General features: G+C 45.4%; 1 protein-coding gene and 1 pseudogene across 2 annotated transcripts in view; both read right to left on the bottom strand.

Annotated features, from left to right (window-relative positions):
• ANXA8 (annexin A8) overlaps nucleotides 1–13,140 on the bottom strand; it is a 523,804-nt gene that overhangs the window by 104,314 nt on the left and 406,350 nt on the right. The window lies entirely within an intron of this gene.
• On the bottom strand, nucleotides 8,365–11,113 carry CTSLP2 (cathepsin L pseudogene 2; annotated as a pseudogene). Its single transcript, NR_033407.1, has 4 exons — nucleotides 10,954–11,113; nucleotides 9,890–10,026; nucleotides 9,153–9,272; nucleotides 8,365–9,052 (listed from the first exon to the last, which is right to left on the bottom strand). The product of NR_033407.1 is annotated as a cathepsin L pseudogene 2 (transcript).

Consider the following 13,140-nt stretch of genomic DNA (forward strand, 5'->3'; position numbering starts at 1 on the left):
TCTCTGTGCACCAAAATTACCCTTTCATCTCCTACTCTATAGTCACATGCTGTTAGAAAAGTTGCTTTTTTAAAAAAGATGAACTTCTGCCTCAGACCGTGCTCTCTATATAAGAATTTACCTGTTAGGCCAGTCGCGGTAGCTCATGCCTGTAATCCTAGCACTTTGGGAGGCCGAGGCAGGCAAATCACCTAAAGTCAGGAGTTCGAGACCAGCCTGGCCAACATGGTGAAACCCCGTCTCCACTAAAAATAGAAAAAAGTAGCCAGGCGTGGTGGCGGGCACCTGTAATCCCAGCTACTCAGGAGGCTAAGGGAGGAGAATTGCTTGAACCTGGAAGGCAGAGGTTGCAGTGAGCTGACGTCATGCCGTTGTACTCCAGCCTGGGCAACAAGAGTGAAACTCCGTCTCAAAAATATAAAAATTAAAAAAAAAAGAAGAACGTATCTGTTATTCAGGAGCTACTTGTAATCTGTGCATCCCAATACATTAGTTTTGTATGGAGCAGAAAACTAGTAAGCCTAATAATTGATACCTTGTGATTTTGTTTTGGGTGGGTGAAGCTGTTTCATGTTTAACATGTATAGACTGTTTTTGAGAAGGATTTTATCATTATATGTTTGTGATTTACAAACTGTGTGCTTCAGACTTGCCACTTGCCAGAGCCCTTCTCCAATTGGAATTGTTTTTTGTTTTTGAGACAGTCTCACTCTGTCGCCAGGCTGGTGCACCGTGGCGTGATCTCGGCTCACTGCAACATCTGCCTCTGAGGTTCAAGCAATTCTCCTGCCTCAGCCTCCCGAATAGCTGGCACTACAGGCGCGTGCCATCACGCCCAGCTAATTTTTGTATTTTTAGTCTACAACGGGGTTTCACCACGTTGGCCAGGATGGTCTCGATCTCTTGACCTCGTTATCCACCCACCTTGGCCTCCCAAAGTGCTGAGATTACAGGCGTGAGCCACCGTGCCCAGCCAGCTTTTTTGTTTTTAAAATATATTGTTTAATCAAGATGGGATCTCACTATGTTGCCCAGGCTTGTATCAAATTCCTGGGCTCGAGCCATCCTCCTGCCTCAGCCTCCCAAAGTGCTGGGATTACAGGTGTAAGCCACTGCCCCAGCCTAGTTGGAATTGTTGTTTGAGGTAACAAGCTTACTTAATCCTAAAGCAAGCATAATACTTTCGTAGATGCCTCTAGAAAGATTCGGGACCAATTTGTCATTTGTACATTGGGAGAAAAGGAGTGGTTAAACAAAGTTTTACTGACCTCCAGCAGAGGTATGTCACTAAAGGAATGGAAAGTGAGCAAACAGGAGCTGGAGAGCACCAGAGAGCCCTTTTGTCAGTGGATGAGGCTAGAATATGGCATTAATCCTTCCAAGTGCTGTGTGGGGTTAGACTTCTCATGAAGGATAGGTTTGGGTAGGTTAGACTTCATGAGATTTTTTCTGTTTTTAAGTTTTTTGTTGTCCTTGTTGACTTCATGAGATTTTTAAGGTGACTAAGGGAAGGGTGCTAAGACATAGAGTTACAGATTAGGTGGGAGGTGGAGAGGGTTGGGGTATAAAAAGCAGTCCTTGAACATTTCAAAGTTGTCTTATACCAGCCCTGTATCCAATATATCACATCTTGTTCAAAGAAGTTGATTATCTAGGCCTTGGGCCCCTGAGTTAAAGAAAAACATTACAGTATACTGATTCCGTCGACTAAAAAGTAAAATTTATAGGAAGAATTGAGTACAGTCCTTAGAAAGAACTTTAATTATTTTATGGGGGGACATAATGGTTTAATAGTTTAACCTCTTTTTTTTTTTTTTTTTTTTTTGAGAGACAGAGTCTCGCTTTGTCACCCAGACTGGAGTGCACTGGCGCAATCTCAGCTCACTGCAACCTCCGCCTCCAGGGTTCAAGTGATTCTCCTGCCTCAGCCTCCCGAGTAGCTGGGATTACAGGCACTTGCTATCACGCCTGGTTAATTTTTGTATTTTTAGTAGAGACGGGGTTTCACCATTTGGTCAGGCTGGTCTCGAACTCCTGACCTTGTGATCCACTCTCAGCCTCCTAAAGTGCTGGGATTACAGGTGTGAGCCACAACATCCAGCCTAATAGTTTAACCATTTTTAAAGTTGTGTTTTTCTTTTTGTAAAGATGAGTTTCTATTATACAGTTGAAATAATATAGAAAGTTATAAACAATATATATATGGTGGGGAGAAAGAATGGGGAAGAGAAAGAAAATTGTAAGTGGGAACATGTTATACATGTTGTATGAAACCTGCCTTTTTCCATATGTATGTTTGTGATAATTCCAAGTAATTTACATGCATATGTTATCCTTTTTAATGGCTGTTTAGTACTTTGCATAGGTATACCATAGTTCATTTAATTGACATACAAGATAATTAGATTGTTTTTATTTTTACTATGTTTGAGAGGAGTATTTCTGCACCTTTACGGATTTGAGTGAGCATCACTTAACATGTTTTTATCAGAGATCTTACTGTAGCCGTCAGTAGTAGTGCAGTCAGTGATTTCTGTTATTGCCTGTAAGCTAATTTGTTAGCCTAACACTTCAATTTGCTACGATCTGAGGAACTGAAAGCTAAGGCCTAAAATTTTATATGTGCTAAGTGTCGAATAATAGGTCAAAGCTGCATTCTTCCACAAGTAAAGATAATATGGGGCTTAACACAATTGCTTTAGCAATGTGATTTTCTCCCCTTTTTCTCTACTTGGTAAGGAGGGCTTATACCCCCACTAAGCAGGCACATGCCTGTAATCCCAGCTACTCAGGAGGCTGAGGCAGGAGAATCGCTTGAACCTGAGAGGCAGAGGTTGCATTGAGCTGAGATTGTGCCATTGCACTCCAGCCTGGGCAACAAGAGTGAAACTCAAAAAAAAAAAAAAAAAAAAGAAAGAAAGCAAGCAAGAAAGAAAGAAGGAAGGAAGGAAAGAAAGAGAGAGAAAGAAAGAAAAGTAAATCTGTGGATATTGTACAAAAGATTGTTTTATGATTTTTTAATTTTTTAACATAACTTTTATTGACTTGTATTTGTATTTTTATCAAACATACTTCATTTGTTTATTTATTTATTTTGAGATGAAATCTCACTCTGTCACCCAGGCTGGAGTGCAGTGGTGGGATCTTGGCTCACTGCAACCCCCGCCTTCCAGGTTCAAGCAATTCTCCTGCCTCAGCCTCCCACGTAACTGGGATTACAGGCATGAGCTACCATGCCCAACTAATTTTTTTATTATTAGTAGAGATGGAGTTTCACCATGTTGGCCAGGCTGGTCTCAAACTCCTGACCTCAGGTGCTCCACCTGCCTCAGCCTCCCAAAGTGTTAGTATTATAGGCATGAGCCACCGCACCCAGCCTCAAACATACTTTAGACAATTTTTCACCTCAGCACTATTGACATTTTAGGCTATGTAATTCTTTGTTATGGGGGCTCTCTCTGCCTTGTAGGATGTTTAGTAATATCCCTGGCCTCTACATATTAGATGTCAGGAAGACCCCTCAGTTATAACAATGACAAATATATTCAGATTGCCAAATGTCCCCTGTGGAGCAAATTCATCCCTTGTTGTGAACTGTGATCCAGAGAGCCAAATAGTGATACAAGGTTTATTGTTCACAATAGCTCGTCCCCTCCAATCCAGACATCTGCCTCACCATATTCCACTCCCCAGAGGCAACCACTTTCAACAATCTTAAATGTTTCATTTTTATTCTATTTAAAGCCTTTGCTCATTTTTAAATTGGGTTTTGTCCACATTATTGAGTGGTAAGAGTTCTTTATATACTCCACAGCCAGTTGTGGTAGTATAGGCCTATGGTCCCAGCTACTCAGAAGGCTGAGGCAGGAGGATAACTTGAGCCCAGAAGGTCAACACTAGTCTAGGCAACATAGCATGACCCTGTCTCTAAATGAGTCTTTGAAGTATATATATTCTAGGTAATTGACCTTTATCATGTATATAATTTGTAAATATTTCCTCTCAATCTATTAGTTGTCATTGCGCTTTCTTGATAGTCTCCTTTTTAATCTTGAGAAAGCATAATTTATTTTTCCTCTGGTTGGTGTGCTTTAGGTTGTATGTAAGAAACCATTGCCTAATCCATAGTCATGCAGATACATCCCTATCTTTTTTTTTTTTTTTTTTTGAGATGGTCTCGCTCTGTCGTCCAGATTGGAGTGCAGTGGTGTGATCTCATGGCTCATTGATAACTGCAGCCTCTACCTCCTAGGCTCAAGCAATCCTCCCCCTTCAGCCTCCCAAGTAGCTGGGACTATAGCACCAGCTATAGTCAGCCTCCCAGGTAGCTGGGAATATGGCACCAGGACTATAGCACATACCACCACTAAGCACAGCTAATTTCTGTATTTTTTGGAGAGACAAGGTCTCACCATGTTGCCCAGGCCAGTCTTGAACTCCCAGGCTCAAACAATCCTCCCACCTCAGCCTCCCAAAGTGCAGGATTACAGGTGTGAGCCACTGTGCCTGGCCTAGAGAGATTTTTTTAAGAAATAGTGACCAAAAATATCCCACATTTGATGGGAATTGTGAATCTACACATTGAAGATGCTCAACAAATTCAAAGCAGGATAAACTCAAAGAGATCCACACTGACACACATTATAATCAAATTGTAGAAAGCTAAAGACAGAAAAGCAGCAAGAGATAAGTGATTCATCCTGTACAAGGGATCTTCAGTAAGACTAACAGTTGCTTATCAGAAATCACGGAGTATAGAAGGCAGTGGTGGTGTGCTGGGCATGGTGGCATGTACCTGTAGTCCCAGCTGACTGAGGCTGAGACAGGAGAATTGCTTGAGCCTGGGAGGTGGAAGTTGCAGTGAGCTGAGATGGCGCCATTGCACTCCAGCCTGGGCGACAGAGCAAGACTCCATCTCAAAAAAAAAAAAAAAAAAACAGGGTTGGGGAAGCTCAGCATGGTGGCTCATGCCTGTAACTTCAGCACTTTTGGAGACTGAAGTGGGATCACCTGAGGCCAGGAGTCCACAACCAGCCTGGGCGACATAAGGAGACCCCATCTCTACAAAATAAAAATAATTAGCCAGACAAGGTGGCTCTGGCCTGTGGTCCTAGCTACTCAGGAGGCTGAGACAGGAGGATTGCTTGCAGCCAGCAGTTTAAGACTAGCCTGGACAACATAGTGAGACCCCGTCTCTACAAAATATAAATTAAAAAAATTAGCTGGGCATGGTGGTGTGCATCTGTAGTTCCAACTACTCATGAGGCTGAGACAGGAGGATCGTTTGAGACCAGAAGTTGGAGGTTACGGTGAGGTATGATCATACCACTGCACTCCAGCCTGGTTGACAGAGCAAGAACCTGTCACTAAAAAAATAATAAATGAATAAAAATATAAGAATGCTTGGCCTGGTCTGGGCGTGGTGGCTCACGCCTGTAATCCCAGCACTTTGGGAGGCCGAGGCGGGTGGATCACCTGAGGTCGGGAGTTTGAGACCAGCCTGGCCAACATGGAGAAACCCTGTCTCTACTAAAAAAATACAAAATTAGCCAGGCATGGTGGCACATGCCTGTAATCCCAGCTACTCGGGAGGCTGAGGCAGGAGAATTGCTTGAACCTGGGAGGCAGAGGTTGCAGTAAGCCGAGGTCACACCCGATTGCACTCCAGCCTGGGCAAAAAGAGGGAAACTCCACCTCAAAAAAAAAAAAAAAAGAAAAAGAATGCTTGGCTGGGCACAGTGGCTCATGCCTGTAATCCCTGCACTTTGGGAGGCCGAGGCAGGTGGATCACCTGAGGTCAGGAGTTCGAGACCAGCCTGGCCAATATGGTGAAACCCCATCTCTACTAAAAATACAAAAATTTGCTGTGTGTGATGGCACGTGCCTGTAATCCCAGCTACTTGGGAGGCTCAGGCAGGAGAATCACTTGAACCCAGAAGGCAGAGTTTGCAGTGAGCAGAGATTGTGCCACTGCACTGCAGCCTGGGCAACAGAGCAAGACTCGGGCTAAAAAAAAAAGCTGAAGTGAGTCCTTCAGGCTAAAATGAAAAGATACAAGATAATAACTCAGAGCTATATGAAAAAATAAAAATCACTGGTAAAGGCAACTATATAGCTAAATATAAAAGCTAGTATTATTGTATTTTGGGTATGTTATTCCTCTTTCTCCTTTATGATTTAAAAACATGCATGAAATAATATGCATCTATGTTAATAGGAACTAATTGTTTAAAGACATAATTTGTAACAATATAGCTAGGGGACAGAGAAAGGAGCAGAGTTAATGTATGCTATTGAAGCTGAGTTGGTATCAGTCTGAACTAGACTTAGAACTCAGCATGTTAACTGAAATCTTCATAGTATCCACTAAAAACAAAACTTTAAAAATATACAGAAAAGGAACTAAGAAAGGATCAAAATATTACAGGATAAATCATTAACCAAACACAAAAGAAGGTACTGAGGAGCAAAACACTTTATGTAGAAACTAAACAGCAGGATGACATAAGTAAGTTCTTTGGTGTGTGGGTTTTTCTGTTTTTCTTTTTTGGGGTTTCTTTGAGACAGAGTCTTGCTCTGTAACTCAGGCTGGAGTGCAGTGTTTCATTCTCAGCTCACTGCAGCCTTTGCCTCCCAGGTTCAAGTGATTCTCAGCCTCCTGAGTAGCTGGGATTGCAGGCGCCCACCACCAGACCCAGCTAATTTTTTGTATTTTTAGTAGAGATGAGGTTTCACTACATTGGCCAGGCTAGTCTCGAGCTCCTGGCCTCTAGTGATCCACCCGCCTCGGCCTCCCAAAGTGCTGGGTACAGCCATGAGCCACTGCATCCAGCCTGTTTTTGGTTTTTTTTGAGACAGGGTCTGGCTCTGTTGCCCAGGCTGGAGTGCAGTGGCACAATCACGGCTCACTACAACCTTGACCTCCGCAGGCTCAGCTGATCCTCCCACCTCAGCCTCCTGAGTAGCTGGAACTACAGGTGTGCACCACCATGCCCAGCTTATTTTTCTATTTTTTGTAGAGACAGGAGTCTTGCTATGTCGCCCAGCCTGGTCTCAAACTCCTGGGCTCAAGCAATCTGCCCACCTCAGCATCCCAAAGTGATAGGATTACAGGCGTGAGTCCAACCATAAGTAAGTTTCTGTTTTTTGTTTTTGAGTCAATCTCACTCTGTCCCCCAGGCTGAAGAGCAGTGGTGCGATCATGGCTCACTGCAGCCTCACCTCCAGGCGGGAGCCACCGTGCCCGGTCAAGTAACTTTTCTGTTTCAGTAATCACTTTCAATGTAAATAATCTCATCAATGGAAAGATCGGCAGAATCAATTTTTTTAATAATGTAATACATAATCCAAATATGCAACTCACAAAATACTCACTGTAGACCCAAAGACACAAATTTGTTGAAAGTGAAAAGATGGAAAGAGATAATCCATGCAAATAGTAACCAAAAGAGAGCCAGGGTGGCTATACTAATAATACCACACAAAATAGATTTTAAGCCAAAAACTGTTACAGAAAAACATTTTATGTTCGTAAGAGAGTCAAATCACAAGAAGATGTAACAATTATAAACACATATGAACCAAAAAAAAAAGGGCTCCAAAATGCACAAAGCAAACTAATAAAATTGAAGGAAGAAACAATTTTACAATAATGGAGACCTCAATGCAGTGGCTCTATCACAGCTCACCGCAATCTCTGCCTCCCAGACTCAAGCAATTCTCCAGCCTCAGCCTCCCCAGTAGCTGGAACTATAGGCACACAGCACCACACCCAGCCAATTTGTGTATTTTTTTGTGGAGACGGGGTCTCACCATGTTGCCCAGGCTGGTCTCAAATGCCCAAGCTCAAGCAATTCACCCACCTCAGCCTCCCAAAGTGCTGGGATTACAGGCCTGACCTACTGCGCCCAGTCAACACCCCACCTTCAACAGTAAATAGAACATCTAGACAAAATCAATAAGGAACTAGAGGAATTGAACAACACACTAAACCAACTAGACCTAACAGACATATAGAAAGCTCTCCATCTAACAAGTGCAGAATATATATTCCTCTCAAGTGCATATGGAACATTCCCCATGATAAATCATATGTTAGGTCACAAAACAATTCTCAATACATTTTAAAAGGTCAAAATTATATGAAGGGCCACATGTGTTGGCTCACAGCTGTAATCCCAGCACTTAGTGAGGCTGAGACAGGCGGATCACTTGACCCCAGAAGTTCAAGACCAGGCTGGGCAACATGGTAAAACCCTGTCTCTACGAAAAAAAAATTTTAAAATTAGCTGGGTGTAGTGGTGGTGAATACCTGTAGCCCCAGCTACTCAGGAGGCTGAGGCAGGAGGATGGCTTCAGCTTGGGAGGCAGAGGCTGCAGTGACCCGAGATCATACCACTACACTCCAGCCTGCAGGACAGAGCAGGACCTGTCTCAAAAAACAAAACAAAAAAAAAAAACAAAAACAAAACAAACAAAAAAAAACAGGCCAGGCTTGGTGGCTCATGCCTGTAATCCCAGCATTTTAGGAGGCCGACGCAGGTGGATGACCTGTGGTCAGGAGCTCAAGACCAGCCTGACCAACGTGGCAAAACCCCATCTCTACTAAAAATACAAAAAATTAGCTGGAAGGGGAGGCAGGCACCTGTAACCCCAGCTACTTGGGAGGCTGAGCCAGGATAATCTCTTGAATCTGGGAGACAGAGGTTTCAGTGAGGCGAGATCACGCCGCTGCACTCAACCTTGAGCAACAGAGTGAGGCTCTGTCTCAAAACAAACAAACAAAAAAATTATACAAAAAAAAAAAGTGAACTGCATGTTGCTGCACAGTCTACCATAGCACAAATGTCAATTGCTTCTTGGCTTTCCTGGGGTGATGGGAGGTCTGAACCTAACACAGTCTCACCTGATCCTTCACAGGAGTCACGTAGCCTTTCTCTCTCCAGTCCACAGATGTGGGGATCTCAAGAAGCAGGCGTTCCTGGAACTGTTTCCCGTTCCTGTGCTTCTGGTATTGAAAACCATTCATCACCTGCCTGAATTCTTCAGTGGTCTTCAAAGAAAAGTAAATAAAATGTTAAGAAGCAAGAGATTAATTTGGTAAAGAACTGAGGAGGGGAAGCACAGAGCTGGGCAGCCCACAGCATACTTACCATGTCTCCAAAGGTGTTCATGGCCATTGTGAAGCTGTGTTTCCCTTGGCTGTATTCCTGATTGTGCTGCTCAGTCATCTTCATGTTCTCTCACACTGCTCTCCTCCATCCTTCTTCATTCTAAAGGCAAACATGTAACTGATGTTCTTCATTTCTTTTTTTTTTTGAGACGGAGTCTCGCTCTGTCACCCAGGCTGGAGTGCAGTGGCACGATCTCAGCTCACTGCAAGCTCTGCCTCCTGGGTTCATGCCATTCTCCTGCCCCAGTCTCCCGAGTAGCTGGAACTACAGGCGCCTGCCACCATGCTAACTTTTTGTATTTTTTTTTAGTAGAGACGGGGTTTCACCGTGTTAGCCAGGATGGTCTCAATCTCCTGACTTTGTGATCCGCCTGCCTTGGCCTCCCAAAGTGCTGGTATTACAGGCGTGAGCCACCGTGCCCCGCCAATGCTATTTATTTCTAATTAAAACCCAACATATGCTAACCAAGTGAATCTTCAGACAGAGATGTAAGAGTAACCATGGCCAGGGAAGGCTTGACACTTCTAGGAGATGTTTTCCAAGCTGAGACACAACAAGGGTGTATGCCCATATCGTGCTCATAATCAGTGCTATTAAGTTATTGTGTTAGCTTATTGGTAGGAGCCAGCCTCTAGAAGCCACTCTCTGGCCATATGATCCCAATAGCAATGCCCATCTCTCTGGTGTTCCCCTGGACAGTTTCAGATGCCACCAACCATGTCATATAATCTCTTGTGCTTTGCCTTCCACTTGGTCCATTGTGCGTCTAGACTGTGGTCACGTGTTAGAGCAGCTGAGGCAATTCCCAGGAAAAAGGCAGCCAGGAGGAGTGAAGGATTCATGTTTCAAAAATCTAGGAAGGGAAAAGAAATGAGGATCTGATTAGACCGATCCTAAAAAGCCATTTTACTACCCCCTGAGAAACTAGGGCCACCATGGTAGAATAAAAATATTTAAATTATTCTTCCAAGCATTTACCTAAGGACTGTGGAAGAGGCCAAGGATGTGGCTGGAGAAAAACAGGGCAAGTGGAGGTATTGGAGGGACCCACCAAAATGAAAAGCAGCCTGTCCAGAGCTGTAGGAGTTGAAACAGTTTTCTGGGATGATGATGACAGGCTACGAAAAGGACAGGAAGGTACCTGATGGGCGAGAAGCTTAAGGCAACAACCGGGAAACTAGGAAACCGTTGGCCCAGGTTTTGTACCAATTGTGCTGAGGTCATCCAGGCAAAACCTCAAGAATGAAGACATCTAATTTCAAGAAGGGACAAAGGGATCCCCAATAATTGGGAAGTCACATCACACCTTGTTCTTGGCTAATACACAACAGAAGGTGAAGTATGTTTTCCAAATGCCCCTTGTAATGAAACAGTTATTGAATGTCTTCCCAGGACAAACTGGGAAGGAGAGCACCCATCTACCGCCGTTCCCGCAGTCCTGCAGTCCTGCAGGTGGGCCAGTCCTGCCAACACTCCAGCTCCCCTCACAGAGCATAAACTGAATCAGGTGGCCGAACCACCGGAAGCCAGAGTCCCCAGTGTCCGCGCCCACACAGGGGTGGGTAGGCAGCTTCCCAGGCTTTGGGCTGGGGACCCAGGCCAGGTCCCCTGGCTCTTGCTCCCGCCCTCCGCTCATGCTCACTGTGGCCCCAGGACGTGGGCGATGTTGCAGGGAGCAAGGGGCGCCTCTGCCTGATTTGCCGGGGTCGAGCCTCCCTGTCCCACCCCCACCGGCCCTGGGAATACTGCGGCCTGGCACTCCGGAAAATCCCTCACTCACAGAGCTGAAGGACTTGCTGGGTCCCTGGTGGCCCCTGTCCAATCTTAGCCCACTGGGGTCTCAGCTGCTGTAGCCACAGGTGGACAGGCACAGTGGGCAGGTGCTGGGTCCAGGAGTCTCCTGTCGCCTAAGGCCGCCCGAAAGCAGCTAATTGACCTCTAAAGCCCCTAGACCCCCCTGCCCCCTTGCCGCCCAGGCAGGCCCGCCCCCACCACTTGCCCGCTCTGCGATTGGCTGCGCCAGCCGCTGGGCGGGGCCTTCCGGCGTGCTGACTCCTGGCATGTGGAGCAGCTCAGTCCCCTTGCCTCAGTGGAACCGGGGGAGGGGAGCTGGGGGCTACGAAGAGAAGGGTCGGAGGTCTCCCTGGAGGGTTCGGATCAACTAAGTACCCTATTTAATGCCCTGGGCGGGTGGTTTATGAAAAGAAATTTACAGGAGCCCTGTGTGCATTTTCAGCTTAACCCTGCTTTTCCCTTAGGCCTAGAATTTTTGATTAAAATCTCCTGCAGGGCAGAGAGCCAGAGGACTGTAATCCAGTGGTTCCTGTTTAGTCCACAGCAAAGGTGCGGCTGGCTGGAAGAACGCACAGCCTGCAAGCAGAAGCCTTACCTCCCAATTAAGGGTGTAGAAGAATCTGGGCGTGTTGCTGGTGGCTCATGCCTGTAATCCCAGCACTTTGGGAGGCTGAGGCAGGCAGATCCCTTGAGCCCAGTAGTTCGAGAACAGGGTGGGCACCCTGGCGAAACCCCTTCTCTACTAAAAATACAAAAATTAGCCGAGTGTGGTGGCCCGCGCCTGTGGTCCCAGCTAGTCGGGAGGCTGAGGCACCAGCATCGCCCAGCCCGGAAGGTTGAAGCTATAGTGAGCCGAGATCGCACCACTGCACTCCAGCCTGGGCGAGAGGAGACCCTGTCTCAAAGACAAAAAAACAACTGGTAGGAAAACGCACCCTCAAAACACATGATGAGATGGTCGAGACCAGACCCTAGGAGGGTGGGGACTGGCTGGGTGGGTATCCAGAGACCATGGGCGTTTCATAATGCATTGTTTCCCGTCTCCTCCACTCAGCGACTCTTCTTCCCCTGAAGTCTTGCATTAAGTAAGTGAATGAATCAATCATCAAGTTAATGAAGCTCTGACTTTGTACTTGTTGTCCTTTGCTTGGTACAGTTGGGCACTGCCTTAGAAACAATCTCCAGGTAATTTTCCCAACTGCTTTTGTGAGGCCCAGTTTTCCATTTTAAAATCTAAGATTACCTCAGTAATCTTGCTTTTACAGCAAATGGGCATGGAGCCTGACAGATATATTTAAACTAAGTTATGGACAAGCTGCCTGGTGCATTAGGTAGCATAGGAGCTAACCTTGTGGGACATCTCCCCATATTCGTAATATTCACCCCTACATCTATAATCAATAAATGCTTGTTTGGAGGCCATAGAAACTCTTCCTGAGATCTGACCTGTGTCTTCTGCTATCTGCCTGATTTCTCCCCATAGAACAGGAAAACACTGTGTAGGAGATATTGTGAATAGAAATATGAATATAGGCCGGGAGTGGTGGCTCACACCTGTAATCCCAGCACTTTGGGAGGCCAAGGCGGGTGGATCACCTGAGGTCAGGAGTTTGAGACCAGCCTGGCCAACATGGCGAAACCCCGTCTCTACTAAAAATACAAAAATTAGCCACGCATGGTGGCAGGCGCCTGTAATCCTAGATACTCAGGAGGCTGAGGTAGGAGAATTGCTTGAACCCAGGGAGGCAGAAGTTGCAGTGAGTGAGATGGCACCACTGCACTCCAGCCTGGGCAACAGAGTGAGACTCTGTCTCAAAAAAAATAAAATAAATTACAAAAATTAGCCAGGCATGGTGGTGGGCGCCTGTAATCCCAGCTACTCAGGAGCCTGAGGCAGGGACAACGGCTCAAACCTGGGAGGCAGAGGTTGCAGTGAACCGAGATCGCACCACTGCACTCCAGCCTGAGAGACATAGCGAGACTCCATCTCAAAAAAAAAAAAAAAAAAAAAAAAAAAAGAATATAAATAGGAAATACAGTGATTCAAATAAGCAATTGTTAGTTCCTCAGATCAGAACTGTGAGTTCTATACTAGACTCTTACATGTTATTTCTTCTGGTATCTTAGCAATGATTCTGAATAAAGATCAGACTCCTTAGTCAGCAGGTGGGAC

The sequence above is a fragment of the Homo sapiens genome, chromosome 10 (assembly GCF_000001405.40).
Source record: "Homo sapiens chromosome 10, GRCh38.p14 Primary Assembly".
In the NCBI taxonomy this organism is placed as follows: Eukaryota; Metazoa; Chordata; class Mammalia; order Primates; family Hominidae; genus Homo; species Homo sapiens.